The 18,238-nt window shown below is 39.7% G+C and overlaps 1 protein-coding gene across 6 annotated transcripts in view, besides 1 other annotated feature; it reads left to right on the top strand.

Moving 5' to 3' along the window:
• DCLK1 (doublecortin like kinase 1) overlaps window positions 1–18,238 on the top strand; it is a 363,288-nt gene that overhangs the window by 325,293 nt on the left and 19,757 nt on the right. For all 6 annotated transcript variants that reach the window (NM_001330072.2, NM_001330071.2, NM_004734.5 and 3 more), the window contains 2 exons: window positions 868–948; window positions 13,168–13,281. In NM_001330072.2, the coding sequence (NP_001317001.1) occupies window positions 868–948; window positions 13,168–13,281 (195 nt within the window). The remainder of the gene's footprint in view (window positions 1–867; window positions 949–13,167; window positions 13,282–18,238) is intronic.
• Window positions 16,421–16,922: an enhancer, noted in NCBI's record as "NANOG hESC enhancer chr13:36363862-36364363 (GRCh37/hg19 assembly coordinates)". NCBI's record gives its function as "activates a minimal SCP1, AML or CMV promoter by ChIP-STARR-seq in naive H9 embryonic stem cells {active_cell/tissue: H9 hESC(naive)}" and the evidence as "EXISTENCE:reporter gene assay evidence [ECO:0000049][PMID:30033119]".

Here is an 18,238-nt window from a genome sequence, read left to right as displayed (position 1 = left end):
AGAAGGCTGAGTGAACTCTCTCCCTCAATGAAATTAAATCACCCCCTTCCCGAGTGGTACTATAAAGCCTGTGTATGTAAGGAACTGGATAATGCATATCTAACCATTTTGTGACATGGGAACTTCTAATCCAGAGTGGACAATTGTATAGCATACTCATCGTTAAGACCCAGGTAGAGCATTCCTGGTCCAAGTCCATTTGAGCTCATGAGGAAGTTCCATTAATTTCAGGATGATGAAATTGTTTACCTCTCAATAGTTCTATTTTTCTTTGTATTGATTTGTCTGGAAATTTTTCAAGCAATTGTAACATGTTTCTTTAGAATTCTTTAGCTACTAAAGGATCAATTCTATCTTGCCACCCAGAATTGGGGAAAGACCCAATTCTATGTCTTTCCTCATACCTTTCTTTCAAACCTAAGTATGCCGTCTTGAAATTAGGGGGAAATTTTCATTTTTCCTTTCAGCTGCTAAAGTGAAATTTTAAGTAAAGTGTTTTTTTAAATGTGACTTCTATATTAAACTAATTAATAAATCTGTCTTTAACATGCAAAATGCTAGACAAAGAAAGGAATATTAATTCCTTAACTTGTATAATTTCTTTTCTATTACAAACATTTTTATGAAAATGATTCTGATATTAATTTAATTTTTATTCAACCACAAGCTATGTATTTACAATTCCAAGTGCTTACCATTTTTAACTTTTGAAGGTGATAAATAGCCACAGGTAAGTGGAGTTGATGTATTTAAGATTTAGAGCTTTTACAAATGCTTTTCGAAACTAAAAGAGAACTCTTGCATTTGCACACATACAGCTTTTCACCTTAAATTCAGATAAATGGACTCTAACGTTCCCCTTCACAGGAGCTCATTACCATGATGCTGTTGGTCGATGTAGATCAGCGATTTTCTGCTGTTCAAGTACTTGAGCATCCCTGGGTTAATGTAAGTGACTCGCACCATTTCCTTTGTTCTCTCCTAACATTCCTTTTAAAAATCAGTTGCAGATTTTCTAATGTTATTGCCTCCTTTTGAAAGTGTTGTGGGCCAGGCGCAGTGTCTCACGCCTGTAATCTCAGCCCTTTGGGAGGCCGAGGTGGGTGGATTGCCTGAGCTCAGGAGTTCGAGGACAGCTTGGGCAACATGGCAAAACCCCATCTCTACCAAAAAATACAAAAAATTAGCTGGGCATAGTGGCACAAGCCTGTGGTCCCAGCTACTCAGGAGGCTGAGGTGGTAGGATTGCTTGACCCTGGAAACCAGAGGTGGTAGTAAGCCAAGATCGTGCCACTGCACTCCAACCTGAATGACAGAGTGAGACATCATCTAAAAAAAAAAGAAAAAAGTGTTGTGTTCCATTTTGTTCCTCCCCCTCATATGTGCCAGGACAGTTACAGGATCTTATACTTGTTCCACGAGGGCATCTGATGTATCCATTACATTTTATTCTGATGAGACTGCCTTCTAACTGGTGAGGTGCCAGTGGTCTCAATCTTCTACCCCGCAACCTGCTTTCTGCGGTCCAGATTAGAGCTGAATAATCATCAAGAAGGCATAACAGACTTTCTGAGTCAGTCCTGCTTTTTGCATGATTCCTACCCAAAGTGCAAGTGACCTAAGGGTTTCGACATAAACCTTGGGCTACTCCATTTCAGCACTTCTCAAACTTGAATGTGCTCACAAATCACCTGGAGAGCCTGTTAAAACGCAGATTCTAACACAGTAGATTGGAGGCTCTGCATTTCTAAAATCTCCCCGATGCTGCCTCTGTGGCTGTTCTTTGAGTACACGGGTCTAATGATATTTCATTAACTATGAAGGAATTCTCCAGAGCAGAGTCATTATTTTTTAATTCTGTGTTTCTCTACAACCGATGGGTGAAATTTGTTTTGATTAATAATACTCATAGTTGGCTGGGCGCAGTGCCTCACGCCTGTAATCCCAGCACTTTGGGAGGCTGAGGCCGGCAGATCGCTTGAAGCCAGGAGTTTGAGACCAGCCTGGTCAACATGGTGAAACGCCATCTCTACTAAAAATACAAAAATTAGCTGGGTGTGGTGGTGCGCACCTGTAATCCCAGCTACTCAGGAGGCTGAGGCACGAGAATAACTTGAACCCGGGAGGCAGAGGCTGCAGTGAGCTGAGATTGTGCCACTGTACTCCAATCTGGACAAAAGATTGAGACTCCATCTCAAAAAATAATAATAGTAGGCTGGGCACAGTGACTCATGCCTGTAATCCCAGTACTTTGGGAGCCCAAGGTGGGCAGATTACTTGAGGTTAGGAGTTTGAGACCAGCCTGGCCAACATGGCTAAACCCCGTCTCTATTAAAAAAAAAAAAAAAAATAGCTAGGCATGGTGGTATGCGCCTGTAATCCCAGCTACTCGGGAGGCTGAGGCAGTAGAATCACTTGAACCCAGGAGGCGGAGGCTGCAATGAGTGGAGATTGCACCACTGCACTCCAGCCTGGGTGACAGAGCAAGACTCTGTCTCAAATAATAGTAATAATAATAATGCTTGTAGTTAATACTGATAGAATGCTTAACTTCTAGAGTCTGCCAGAAGTATTTTAAGCATCTTATATACCTTAACTGTGTTGTGTTTGTACTTATTGTGTTCTTCCCAACAACATTGTAACTTTGTAATCTAGTTTCTATGGTAATCCCCACTGACAGATGGGGAAGCTCCATCACTAAGTCTAATAGTTCCTACTGCCAGAATAGAAGACAGATATAGGCTTGAATATATATATGGACGTGGTCATAGAGGTGGAGAATCATAAAATTGTCAGCTCATTGATATAAATTTTACCAGCCTCCCTACTGCACTGAATCATCTGGCTGTACATTGAAGGCCACAAAATGTTCCATTTCTCTGAATTGCCACCTTGGTGAGTAGTCGAGTGATTTGTTTTGTTTTGTTTTCCAAAACAACAAAAGCTTGAGGTCAAGGCATGATTGAAAGCACAGTCAATGTGTCAGGTGACTACATATGGGGGGACAAGAACTTGGGATCTCATTCATGTTGTGCCACTAGATGGCCATAGGTCTAGATTCCAGCATTCTACATGTCTGAATGTGATTCTTCACACTCCACTGGGAGGTTATATACAAATAACAGGAGAATAGACTTGAAAATGAGCATGTAGAGCTATGCACTGAGGTTTGTTTTAAGGCTTCTCATATAGCAGAGTTTTCTAACTGGTGTACAGACATGCAAAAATAGTAATCCCCATGGCCCTAGGGACAGGGGGCTGTACAGCCAGTATCCAGGAGTGGTCACTTCCAGCCTCAACAACATCTGCATTCACCCCAGGGTGCTAAGCAAAAGTTATCCTTTTCTATGAAGCTGAAAAGATTAGGAAGCATCTTACTTGAGCCTCATAACAAGCCTACAAGATAAGCAGGATGGGTATTATTGTACCCATTTTACAGATGAGGAGACTAAGGCTATGCAGGGTGATTTTCTCAAAGTAGCCAAGCTTGCAGTTGAGCCAGAATTTGCAGCCAGATATCCTCACTTTCACCCCAGGTGTTTTAAAGTCCCATGCATCACATTACATCTACCCCACCCTTTGTTACACATGAAAACATGGTAATGTTGTAAACAGGCAGGTACAATATGGACATTGTCATCACTGTAATGATTGCTAATACAAGTCAGCAACCTTTCCAAACTCACTTACCCAGGTCATGGTACCTTTTTCTTAGCTGTGCGGGGAGGAAGAGGCACAAGCCAGCTGCAGGCTCTCTGGGTGGCAGTGGTTGGTTCTGACTGATCCACATGTTAATGCTGTATGACAAAATGCTCTGATTCCTAGTGCCAAAGGTTCAATTCAGTGTATATAACTGAACACACTCATCCATTTGTGCTACTTTTTTTTAATGATGCTTAAAGAGCTCATCCTTTGCAAGTCATCCTTGTTGTTATTTAGGCATTTTATCTTTGCTCAAATTGTTGAAGAATGGTGGCTTTTTTCATGGTTTTTGTATTTGTGTCTAATGCATGTTTTAACATGATAGACGTAATGCGTTGTGTAGCTAGTTTTCTGGAAAAGTTGATCTTTTAGGAATTGTTTTTCAGATCTTCAATAAATTTTTTCTTTAAATTTCAAAGAAAAAAAATAAAAGCTTACCATCCATAAATTGTCAAATTGCATATTAGCTCTGGAGAAACTGAGACAGGGTGACCACACAGAAGAAACTAGACAATCTGAATTTGACATGTGGCCTTAAAAGGCTCCTGAAGAGCCATAGAGGAAAGATATTCATAGGTGACAAATAATCATTTTACTTTTTTTTTTTTTTTTTGAGACAGGGTCTCACTCTGTCACCCAGGCTGGAATGCAGTGGCTCAATCATGGCTCACTGCAGCCTCGACCTCCTGGGCTCAGGCAATCCTCCCGCCTCAGCCTCCCAAGTAGCTGGGACCCCAGGTGTGCACCACCACAACTGAGCAATTTTTTTGAAAAATTATATGTAGAGATTTCTAAATACATTTTTATCAGAGAGACACTGTGTGCCAGCCCTGCCTTCTAGGAACAAAGTCTGATACAACCAGACAGTTCCAGGGTAGTGAGAACAGCTTCCCCAGTCTGCTCTGTGGGGAGACTTCCCAGAGCCCAGAGAAGGAGGTGCCAGAGCTCAATCCTGGAGAAGACTGGGAAGAAGATATCTGACAGTCAGTTCCAGCAGAATGTGCATGTTTGCTAGAAGATAACTTTGTAAATGTGAGCAAATTTGTTTATATACATGAGGGGTCTGGAATGCTGTTGGGAACGACATGAATCTTCCCCTGATTCCAGACCAAATGGCCCTATATTAATAATATCCCAACTCAACTGTGGTAAAGAAACAAAATTAAGAAGGCTTCTGGCTGTTACCAGTGAAAAAACAGGTTGCTCATTATGGCAATATATACGTGTCTCAGCAGTAACTTTCTGCCTCTTCTACCTGGTTTTGTGCACAGTTTTACACATGGTCCCACTTTGCTGATAATTATGTTCCATTGCTCCCTCTGGACCTTAGACTTCTGCTGTCCATTTCAGTTTTTCCTCTCTGATTTCCTACAGGCATTTTCTAAAAGCAGGGAGAGAATTTAAGTAATCATCTAGGAGATCGAAAACTAAAAAAAAAATACCCTTTCTGTAATTCAAACAGACTTACCATCCTAGAAAAAAAAAATGGTTTTAATAAAAGCTTTTTAAAGACTCGATTAAGTGAGTGCTTAACTTTTGAAATTATCTTTATGAAGTAACTAAATCAGAAAACGGATTTTTTCTTCATCTGAAAATAATCAATTGTTAAAAGTAAGCTTTCACAATCAGCATTTAGCATTTGTTGATGTCTCCAAGTACAACAAATGAATGGCCAAGCAAATGAAATAAATAAATTAGGGATTTCAAAGAATATCCATTTAGTAAGACATTTTGCATTTGGCAATCAAATTATATCTGATTACCACAAAGGAGAGAAGGGGGAAGAAAAGTACTAATAATTATGTGAACCGTAAGGACGTTGTCAAAAAGCACTTTCTCTGCTCTCATTAGTTCTAATTTTCTCTATTGCTTATACCATGACTTTTTTACTTGGCATACTTGGAATTGAAAAGGCAGTCTTGGCCGGGTGCAGTGGTTCATGCCTGTAACCCCAGCACTCTGGGAGGCCGTGGCAGGTGGATCATTTGAGGCCAGGAGTTCAAGACCAGCCTGGCCAACGTAGTGAAGCCACACCTCTACTTAAAAAAAAAAAAAAAAAAATTAGCCCAGCATGGTGGTGGGTGCCTGTAATCCCAGCTACTGGGGAGGCTGAGGAATGAGGATGGCTCGAACCTGGGGGCAGAGGTTGCTGTGAGCCAAGTTTGAGCCACTGCACTCCAGCCTGGGTGATGGAGGGAGACTCTGTCTCAAAAAACAAACAAACAAAAAGAAAGAAAGAAAAAGGAAAGGTAGACTTATATAAAATAGACAGTAAAGCATAGGGCAGCAGAAAGGAAAACCTACTCCGCAAAAGTCACTTGTTTTAACCTCATCCAGGAGCTTCCTCTAAGTTCACCTTTATTTTTCACACGTCCTGGGTCCAAATCCCACCATGCTCTGCCGTATTCTTGCCCTTTGCTCTGTTGTTGAAAGAGTCATGAGCGAGGCCTCTCTATGGATGGTTCCAATGAGCCACATGAACAAAGCCATCGTCAGTAAGCAGCCACGTCTGGAAGAGGAATGTAGACCCATGGGAGGAGCATCAGCTTACTCACCTGTGTGACCTTGGGCAAGTCTTTTCTCTCCTTTAAACCTGTTTTCCTATCTGTGAAATGGAGAAAATAGGATTCTCCTCTCCACTTGCTATAAGGATGGGAAAAGGATCATATAGTTGAAGAGTCTGAGAGGGCAATCTTAAGTCCTAGCACCTTGTAGGTACTTAGCAAATATTTGGTGAATTTGAGTCTGAGCCAGATGACAACTGTTTCATCCATTGCTATGTGCTCATGAAATGCAAATTGTGATTAATGTTGGTGAATGAGAAGCTTGATTAAGGAAGAAAGACTGTCATCCCCCAACATGATCCTGTTTGTGTGTCACAGATCCAGATAGATAATATGTGTATCACCAGCTCTGTTACTTTCTCCAGCATCACAGCTACTTTGTTTAATGTAGTTACAAAATACCAACAAAATTATCCCAACTATGTTTCCTTACCCTATTACCCATCTAGTGGAGAACAATATGATTTAGGCACATTTATTATAATATAAGAATAAAATAGGCAATAATATATCTTGACCTTTCCAGGAATTAGAAAGGGGGTTGAGTCACTTTCCCCACAAATGACGGTTTATTGATAGAAAATGTAGGTTCATGATAAGTTCATAAACAGAATTGACATTTCCAGAAAAAAATTCTTATATATAATTAGGATCAAATTATCATCATTGTGATATTTTAAATATATTGCTGTCATTCCATTTTTATTTTCAAAATGCTCATCTACCTTATCCCGAGTTATTCTTCTGATACTCTAGGATGCTATAATTTTATGAATCTATGTTTTACATCAAATTATTTTGCCAATTTAATAGATTAAAAAAAAACTGAGGGCCAGGTGCAGTGGTTCATGCCTGTAATCCCAGCACTTTGGGAGGCCGAGGCGGGCAGATAACCTGAGGTCGGGAGTTCAAGACCAGCCTGGCCAACATGGAGAAACCTTGTCTCCACTAGAAATATAAAATTAGCCACGCATGGTGGCACATGCCTGTAATCCCAGCTACTTGGGAGGCTGAGGCAGGAGAATCGCTTGAACCCGGGAGGCAGAGGTTGCGGTGAGCCAAGATCGTGCCATTGCACTCTAACCTGGGCAACAAGAGCAAAACTCTGTCTCAAGAAAACAAAAAAAAAACAACTGAGGCTCAAGCCTGAAGCCCACTGGAGCCTCTAATACAGGTCTGATGCCTGGGTTTTGCCCCCAGACATTCTGATTTAATTGGTTTGCACTGGCTTCCTGGCATCAGGACTTTTAAAAGCTCACAGATGATTATAACATGAAATGAAGTTCAAGAACTTTGGTACTAGCAGAACAGACTGGTTTAAATAAATCAAATACAGTTATTTAGCCAATTCAAGACTTTCTATCACCTTCCTGGCCTTTACACTTTAGTTTACCTCCTATATCCCACCTACATACTCTTTTGAAAAGATTCTGCTAAGTCCAGATATCCAAAAAGAAAAAAAGAACAAGGGAAAGAAGAAAAAATAGAAGCCTGGATAATCTCCCAAGATATTCCATGTTGACTAATAAAACTCAGCCCTACCCACACACACAAAAATGTAAACATTCATCTTATTGTGCTGGTAGAATTTGTTAGCAATTAAGTGAAGCCCAATGACACTGCAATAATATATAAAACCACTTATTGATATTCACAAATTTTAAACGATGACATGGAATTGCAGTTTCCATATGGGCATTTTATCCTGTCCTTGCTCTAAGATAAATCTCAACTTGCCTTACATTTTCTCCCAAAGTGCAGTGTGAATTGTAGACAGAGAATCATAGGGCCATGCTGAAGAGAGTCAAGGGGACTGGGGGTGCCGTGCAGGTGGGGATGGTTAACAGGAGTCAAGCACACTGGGAGGTGCAGCGGAACTGCTATTGAAGAGTCCTTTAATAACCTTGGAATGGTTTTAAACTACGTGGGAATATTTTAGCAGTAAACTGCTCAAGACTGCCATGCTTCTCCTGAGTTTACAGATATTAATAATGGAGTCTGGCAATGAATAGACTGCAAACCAGATCCATGATTCAAAACCAAAAATCCGCAAGGGGATGAGAATTTTTTAAAGCATGACGCCTGAAATGGTTTCCCAGAGGAAAGCGAGGAATTCTACACTACAGAGTGACTTCACATCCGTTCCCCCACAAGCCTCCCCACAGCTCTTCCCCAGTAACCCCTAGAGAAATGGAGACCAGGAGGCCAGGTCTCCTATGGACAGTGGTGAGAGTTCATTTTCCATTTTGCAAACTAATTTTGTTCGTGTCAGTTGCAATGCTCTGCCAAGTGGTGGATGGGAATTTCTAAATCAAAAACTACTAACCTCAAACCACAACCAGCCTGTGTCGAACTTCAGAAACTACCACCAAACCAGAACGTATGGTAATAATACCGTAACTATTTGTAAAATACTGCCAGATTTGTCACGTTTAGAAAATTCGTAGCACATTTTTGGCACATAATCTATTCTGAATAATGGTGATAAAGATGTATATATATAAATTTATGTTTTTAACGTCCCTATTTATTTTATTGATGCATGACAGTAAGTTAGCTAAATCTCTATCATCCATCTGTATGGCGCAGGTACAGATTAGAGCCCTGCAAAGCCAATTGTTTAAGTCTTTTTATCCAATTATGCTGAAAACCTTCAAAATTTATATAAAAACACTGCAGACTTTTTCATTGTCATGGGGTGTGTGTGTGTGTGTGTTTACATGTATGTGTTTTACCTACTCCAGCTGAGACACCTTATTTCATTGGAAAAAAATCCTAGAACGTTTTAAGATTTATGAAGTCAAAAGCCTCTCTGACAACTTGTTTCGCTACTTGCATTGCTTCAATGTGAACTAATAACCCAAGGGAAGCTCAAACCTTCACTGGAATTTAAAGCTGGAGGCCTTCACCTCCAGGCCCCAGTATCTGAAAGAGTTGCTAGGAACCTTGACAGGAGATTAGGACCAGGACAGGGCTGGGAAATGATAAGGAAATCCATTGTGAGGTGGCTGGAGAGCAAACTCCTAGCTCAAGAACTGGCAGTGGAGGGAAAGCCAGGTGAAGGCAAGTTTCTGAAAAGATGCCAATGGTGGGGAGTGAAAAGAAGGTGGGGTTATTCAGCAAGAGCTGAATCTTTCTCAGTAAGTTAATTAGGGGCTGCTCTTACGAAAACCCAGCTATCTTTCCCCATATTTACACCTAGGCTGGTAAACACAGCCTGTGCCGATCATACGGCAACCCTGTTGGCTCCGTGCAACTCTATGCTGCCCAGTGTCAGCCAGGCCTTGCTGCACTGCTTGCTGCACATAGGATCCTAGAGTCCCGGCCCTAATAGGTCACGTTGACACATCCCAGATTAGTGGACACCCAGTCTCCACTTGACAGAGAATTTCTAACTGTGTTCCACTGGGTCCCTGAAATGCTCAGCGTCTCTTTTATTGACCACCAGATGATTCCCAGGCTCCATTAAGTCGTGTCCAAATATTCTCTGGTTTGTTCAGCCCCTAATTCAATTCTCCTTCCGCCTCACCACTGTGCCACTTTCATCATGGAAAAGATGATTCACTGAGTATTTCCATTTATCAGTTAAGCAGCCCTTTTGTAGCTGATGCCATGCTAGTGAGCATCCTCAATTGATGCAACCTGGTGTGGGAAAAAGAACAGAGTTTCAGGCCTGGTTCAATGCTGACTCAACCACTTTCTAGCTATGTGACGTGGAGCAAATGAATTCACCTTGCTGAGCCTCATTTTGCCCATGTTCAAAATGGGACTAATAAATGGACTGAAGTTTGAGGAGGAAAGAGATCATACATGTAAACAGCAGTTAACACTTGTGTCACCTTCCTCGCCCTGCCGTGCTCTTCTAACTTCCCTCCCCCGCACCTCTGCTCGTTCCCTCTTTGTTTCATCTTTGCCTCAGAGAAAGAGGTAAACCTATACCTCCCCAAGGCAAACCACTTCACTTCTACCCTCCGTCCCTACCCTGCCCTTTCTCGTATCTTTCAACTCTCCCTTTTCACTAGCTTCTTATCCTAAGACCACAATTATGCTCAAGTTTCTTTCATCCTAAAAAGAAAAACCTTTCCTCAACCTTCTCCACAATCATGTTTTTCAAAGTATCTCATCATTGAAAGCTCATTTGATCATTTTGCCCGAGGTAGCCTGGAACTCTACAAAGAGATGGTAAGAAGTACTTGTGTAATCTTGTTGGTGAGGCCAGTAGAGCACCCAAGGTGGCCCCTTTCATTCTGGCAGAACCCGACACTCTGCCAAGACATGATACTAATATTCAGAAGACTTTCAGTATCATTTTATCCCTTGTCAAATGTGGAAAAACTGTCAAAAATTCTAACTTAGTTCCCAAACGCTATTGTCCAACTTAAATTCCAGGGGCCTTTTGTTTCATTCACCAGTTGTTGTTGGTTTTTTGTTGTTGGTTTTTTTTTTTTTTTTTTTGAGATGGAGTTTTGCTTTTGTTGCCCAGGCTGGAGTGCAATGGCGCAGTCTCAGCTCACTGCAAATTCCGCCTCCGGGCTCAAGCTATTCTCCCGTCTCAGCCTCCTGAGTAGCTGGAGCTGGGACTACAGGCATGCGCCACCATGCCCAGCTAATTTTGTATTTTTAGTAGAGTCAGGGTTTCTCCATGTTGGTCAGGCTGGTCTCGTACTCCCGACCTCAGGTGATCCACCTGCCTCGGCCTCCCAAAGTGCTGAGATTACAGATGTGAGCCACCGCATTTGGCCTCATTCACCATATTAATAAAAACATTTTTTATATACACCATTCAATTCACCCTTGTGTTTAGAACTCTGGACGCATAATCCTAATTCTTTGTAATTATCATCTGATTTCTCTTTCACTTGTAGAGTGAACCAAGAGCTGGATAATGTACTATAAAAATACCACAGTAAAGGGAAGGTAGTCCTTCACATTTCTTAAACTTACAGTCCTCTTATTAAAAAGCTCTATTCCTAATGGAGATGAAGGCTTCAATTCTGGGATCTTTTGGGTATTCATTTATGGCCAGTCTTCTGTTTTTTCAGCTTTCTCTGCCATTACCATGGCACATAAACTCTTAACTAGAGACAAACTGTTTGACTTCTTGTTTGGCAGAGATGACTTTGTGGCTTCCCACTTGCACACACCGCACACCAAATATCACCACACCTCCTCTCTGCCTGTCAACACACTCTCCATCATTAAGGGCCAGGTCAAGTCCCATATCCCTCATGACGTCAGCTGTAACTGTTCACACCAGAAAATATGCCCTTTCTCCTCTGAACTTCTTTGGTGAATCTAGCTGAGCCATCCAGCCATGCAGCCTTGTAACAGCTCCTTTTAATCTTGTTGGCCTGTTTCATGATTTTACATAGTGTGTGCATGTTTTGTCTCCCAATTAGCCTGCAAGGTTCTGGTGGACAGAGATCACATCTTCCTCCCACACTCTGCTATTCCTAACATAGCCCTTGACAAGGTCGGCACTTCATGTGGCCCTGCTTCTGTTCCCTCCCCAAGTAGCATCCCCACTCTACTGGAATTTCACTTTGTTTCTAACACCAAAAAAATAGAAATAGTGCAAATTGATATAATGAAAAAGCACTGGGGGTTTCCAGTAAAGCCATTAGAATGGACTGTGCTTAACTTGGGGATAAATGCCTTGGAACAGGCCCGTTAGACCCAAGTTACGAAGAAAAGAAATGGAGCAGAGGGTCTAGGAGAGCAGGGCCCATGCCTGTCTTTGCTCGCCATCGTTTCTCCCCCACGTACTGTAGTACCTGGTCCATGTAGGCATGCAGTTAATGTCCATTGAATAAGTGAATGCCCAAATGCTGAAAGAAAAAGCAAATGCCATGTGGAGGGACCAGCTCGTGCAAAAGGAGCCAGCACATTATGCTTGAGAAACAGCAGACTTATTTTCCTGGGTGGAACCAAGAAATTACCTGCAAAATGATGGAGAGGAAGAAGAAAAGAAAAATAATGAATGGCATCGAAGTGATTGCCAGGAGTTTCTTTTTAGCAGTGAGTTACAAACACTCTATTATCTGTTCATTCATTTATTCCACAATTGAGCATCTAATATGTGCCAAGGCACTATGCTAAGACCTGGAGATTCTATAGTGAGCAAAACACAGTCTCTGCCTTGAAGGATCCTGCAGCCTTTTCATCATGAACTCTAGTAAGTGGTGGCACATACTTATGACCCTGGTTATTGTGATTCTAACAGTATTTAGTACAAGAGAACCATGTGTCCAGCCTCAGTCATAGATGGCTCCAGCAGAGAATAGAGACCTTGGTTAAAATAAGCTCCAATATAAACTATGTCATAATAACAGATGATTTGAAGGCAGCAAGAAAGACTTAAAATTTAAGGAAGATCTTTCTGCCTGGAAGGCTGCCTGGAATTTTAGAATGGCCAAATGAGTAACTGTGGAACAGCCTGAGTTTATTTATGGGCCATGCAGAAGCCCAAGCTTGCCATCCAAGACCCTTGGCTTTGGGTCTAAATGATGGGTTAAGAGGAAAAAAAAATTAAAAAGAAGATGTTCACATTGAATTTTTTTTCTGGTCATCTAGATTAACTTGCTTTTTGACATGTTCCTAGAGCCGTGGTTGGAATAGATTTTATTAGAAACCAAAAACAGAAATTTTTTTTTTTAATTTAGAGACAAATCTCTGAGGGTCAGATGACACAAAGCAAATTAATTTTAGAGCAGATGTGGAAATGAATGAGACCTTGGAGCAGTACTTCCAACAATAGTGTTTAATGAGTAGACATTGGTTGGTTTATTTCTGACATCTTATGAATTCTAAGATCACTGCCTGTGACTAGAAGATTTAGCCTTCATTTTTCATTTATCTCATTTTCTTTCTTTTTCTCTTCTCTTTATTTCTTTTTCTCCAGGATGATGGCCTCCCAGAAAATGAACATCAGCTGTCAGTAGCTGGAAAGATAAAGAAGCATTTCAACACAGGCCCCAAGCCGAATAGCACAGCAGCTGGAGTTTCTGTCATAGCAGTAAGCATCTGAAATATCCACCTATAACTTTTTTTAAAGCAACCCACCTAAGAGACAGGCATTACTCAGGAGATTCTCCAGTCAGAGACAGCAGAATGGGTCATTTCTTTAGACAGCTCAGCCACTTAATGCACTAGAGGAGGTATGGGACTTATATATATTATGTGTTTCTGCAGATCATTTCCCTGGGCATCACATCATTATCCAACACCTCCAGGGTGTCTTGCAGTATATATTAATTTTATGATTTATTTATTTAAAACCGAAAACCTCCCCCATGCTGGACTCTGTGCCAATGCAAACTTCTTGGCTCTAAGAAAAAGAGTTCATAGTGTCCTTTTGCTAGGACCTAGAAAGGAAAGGCAAGCTGAGAGAGACGACATTGCAGGGAGAGCTTGGAACACTATAGATCTTGATACTAGACCTAAATTAAAGTCAAAGCATAGCAGAAAGCTACGCAGTGAGATTTTCAGTGAAATTGAATTACTGTGAACACCCAACGAAGTCACGATGTCTTGCTCCTTAGAAATTTCTGTTCTTAAAGTTGAAAGTCTTTTAACATTTACTATTTTATTGATGCGTCTGCACAAGGCCTTTCTTTTCTGTTCTATACATGCAGACATACACTACATGCAATTTGATCGCAGCTCTAGGCAAAGATTAAATTGGGCCGAGGAATAATGAAACCTCATACTTCCTGGTGTCATATTCTGGAGTAAATATATTCAAGTTCCAATTACTTGAGTTTTTAATAAATTCCTCTTTTTTTCAGAGTGTGTAAATTTTAATAGCATATTCAATCTGAAAATCACTTGAGCTGTTTTTCTTCTCCAAACAAAGAATTTAAGACACTATGATGTGGACTTTTTCAAAAGTATTTATGCTATTAAACAGCACCTCTCACTCATGAGCAGTACTGAATATTTAACCACTTCTCTGGGTGTTTTTAGTTTCTTTCCTTTTTTTCTTTTTTGGTTGCGCGAGAGCTCTAAAAAAAAACTGAAGATAAACAAGTGATCTGTTTGATGCCACCAATCCCAGATCTGGGTTACTGAGTATTTGATATGAGGTTCCAGAATTTGCAAATGGTACGAATGCATGCATACACACCCTCGTACTGTTTGCATTTCGTGTTTCTCGATTGAACCCTTTCAATAGTGATTTACATGCGTGTGAGCAACTGGCACATGTGTAAAGTGAAAGGGAATGCCTACTCTTCCAGATGTTCCTCAGTGCCGCTGAAGTTTTAAAATTTCAAGTTGTTCTTGCCCTCTATCTTTAATTCTTTCTGAGAAAATTCAATGTAGAAGTAAATTAACCTTTACATCTTCCATAGATGGTCAGTGTTCTTTGTTCTGAGCTGATATTCAGTCAGTAAGTTTTGAAAGCAACAATATCATAGTGATTCTCTACTAAACCAGACATTCTATACTCTGTTTCCATTGTTCGTTCAAGATATATGTCTATTCCAAACATTTGATTCCACAGTTTTCTTTTGGAATGGACTGCCAGCATGCTTGTCCATGAAAGGGACTGTTTTTCTCCTGCTAAGGGCTTACAGCTGCTAGAGAGAGTGCCTTTCCACCTCTGTCATTTTGCTTTTGTTTTCTTTTTTTTTCCTGGTCTTTTATTTTAATCAGTCTTTGGTTAAGTTTGCCTTGGTTGCTCAATATTTGTTTGTTCACAGTATTCTAGGAGTCTTACAATGACTAAGGGCAGGAACGTCAGGGCAATTTTCCAATTGACAAACACCACATATTTGAGGGGAAATCCTATTTTAATCAAAGTTGGATAAATTCTGAAGCGTTATCCATATGAATTCATTAAAACCTCATCTAGCTGGATCTTAAAACACTCATTAGTATTTGAAGATCAAAGATCCACTTTTTTTTTTCCTAAATGTCATGATTGGACCACTTTGAATGCAATTTTGAATGCAAGTTTCTCAATTCATCACTAACACGGTTTCCATGGAAACTGCACAAACTGGTAATATACTTACAAATTGTAAAGTGGGCTGTGTAATGCTGAGTTATGCATTGGTTGCATGCTTGTTTAATCTTTACTGCTGCAGAGGTTTTTTTTTTTTTAATAATTATCAACTTAATTCAGATTCAAAATAATTGGCTGGTTTCAGAAAACTGTATCTTAAAAAATGCCTGTCAGATCTATAGCACAATTCATATGTTAACTATCAGCATTAATATTTCAAGCATAAAAGAGAATATCAATGTAGATTTCAGAGATTGTTTTAAGAGAAACTGGTCTACCATACTATGTACATGAGGCACCTTCTCCAGAATGCTTTTCCCTCATAAATATCTCTACCTTCTAGAAGAACCTGGCTGAGGTCAGTAACCAAAGGGTGGGGCTGGGAATTAGAAACTGGCTATTTTGGCCACCTTCATTGTGATACTTTCAGAATAGCACTGGATACATCCAATTATATTGCATAACCATTTTTTCATTCTTAAAATGCAAAGGCTGACTATCAGGGGACTATCACAAGAAAAAGAAACCCTGGCATTAAATAATATTCCAAAGTATGACTGCCAAGAAAGATTATTCTGCTATGAAGCAAAATAAGTGGGAGGTAGAAGAAAAATTTTTTATAAATGGTATATTCTATAAAGACTATTTGATAATTTAATAATTTAATATAATGATTAATTTGCTCACATCATTAAAAGTTCAGGAATTGATATAATACAGTGATGACTTCTCTTTGATAGATTTACAAAAACTGGTTTCAGCATAAATTTCATTCAAACAGAATTTTCCTAGGTATATACGCTCTCCCCAGAGGCTATAAAATAATGTATTTTAAACCGCCTTTACCATGGGACTAATTTTTTAGAATTACATACACCCTTTAGAATGTTTTAAAAATTATTATTTAGGACATAGTGTTAGTTTGTGGTTTGGTGGCAGTTGGGGAATCAACAATTAAATAATTAATTTTTAACTAGTACTTCTCATTCCTTAGTTAGAAACCTAACTACCTGCTGGAGATCACCAATGCTCATCAGAGAATCTGTGACACTCTTTCTTTCTTAGAATGACAAAAGAAAAAAGCATACTGTCATAACCGGCAGCCTCTCTCACAGGTGTAATTTATGATATGAGAGTAGTTTAACATGTACTCATGTTCTGAATTGTAGTGTTTTTTGTTCATGTTGTCATTTTTTTCTTCTGCTTCACAGTCTGTACATTATTAGGACCAAAGAAAGGACAAATGACAACTTTATATTAAGGTCGCAAGAGGGCCTCGAGTTGGCTAGGACAGTAATTACCAGCTGGAGGTTCACAGGGATCACACACCCTCCTGAAGGAGGAAAGGTGCTCTGACATTAGGTCAAGCCATGGGATTAGGTGGAAGGCATTGCATTCCTTAGAATTGCAGCATTCTGTGCCTCTCAGAGAGACGCCATTGTCCCTCTGCTGCCTTTCTCAGTAGTTGGGGGATTTGAAAAAAAAAAGAGAGAGAGAAAGGGAAACAAAAGGTTATTAAAATGCAATTTATAGACATGAAATGAATTAGAGATGACATTTTAACGGTGAACTTTTTGAGAGCTGAGGGAAGAGAGAGAGGCATTATTAGATTTGCTCAGCTTGATGAAGAACCGATGACTAAGATGTCAGTTCCAATTTATTTTTCCTCATTTAACACTGTTTATTATTTTAACCAATAATTTTCCTAATGCTTTAAAGTTCTTCTTTTGCATTTTGCTCATGCAAATAGAGCGTTTCAGTCTAATTGAACAAATCCATACTAATCAGCATGCATATAATTGTGACACTGGGAAGCTTAGTTCTAAAATGAGACCTGTTATATGACACTTTGCCTGTAGATGGCAATAGAAAGCTAATTACTAAGTAGCTGTCTTTGTGGCCAAGCATACACCTTCATCTTCCTGAGAGCCAGTATACTTTGATTTTTTTCTCAATAAAATGAAACACACATTTTTAAAAAGATTAAAACTTCACATTGCATTTTATGCACACTTGGATAGCCTAGTTTATAATCAGAGCACAAAATCCTCCAAGCAGTTTTTAGTTTAAATGCCTGGTGCCCTGGCATGTTTTTGAAATGCCTTTGTGAATTTAGAAGCAGAAACTGTCATCAGCATCATACCAGTAACGCACTTGAAAGAACACATGAGCCCCTCTGAAGAAAGGTGTCCAAGTCGCATCCTCTCGTGGGCAGAATGGGGAAGCGGGTACACAGCATGATTAGTGTCCTTCAGGTTTGGGGGATTGAATCTTTTATCCCCAGGTACCCAAAAGCTAACATCTTATTCCAGGATGAACAACTTTGAGAACTTCTCCTGTCTTCTATTTATTGTACTTTGTGTTAATCAAAAGCACTTAACTGTTCATATGCATTTTTATTATACAAAGAAAACTATTTTTTGTTTTATTTCACTTTCCATATTTTCATAGAGAAAATTTATTGACTGTTTTATACTCTATCTTCTTAGTTTAGAAATGTAATTAAGATTCACCTTTAATTAGATCATATACCTTTTATAAAAAGGAAAAGAAAAGAAAAGATTCACCTTTAAGAGTAGCTCTGCTTTTGAAGATTAACTCAGAAATTTAAATGCTGTAATTGATGAGGTTTCAAAACCTGATTCTTTTCCTCTTTCATTTCATAGTTATGAAGCCCTCAAATTTAAGCCTTATGCGGTAATACTCTATGGGGTCCAATCTGCTTTCTCTTAAGTGGCTAATGCTCATTTCAGTACTTTATTGAATTGTGAAGCATTTTCTATTCTATGGCATATGAAGAGGTGTTTATATCTTTTGAAATTGAGAGGACATGATTAAAATGGTCATTCAAAAACTTGTTTGAAGAACTAGATCTATTTGAGCAAATTGGCCTCCAAAATAGTCATGAGGTGTCACTTCCTGCCTTTTTGTTGTCAGTATGCAGACTTAGGATATTAGCTAGTTA

The sequence above is a fragment of the Homo sapiens genome, chromosome 13, assembly GCF_000001405.40.
Source record: "Homo sapiens chromosome 13, GRCh38.p14 Primary Assembly".
Lineage (NCBI taxonomy): Eukaryota > Metazoa > Chordata > Mammalia > Primates > Hominidae > Homo > Homo sapiens.
Note: the sequence above shows the minus strand (reverse complement) of the source record. Positions and strands in the feature narration are given on the sequence as shown.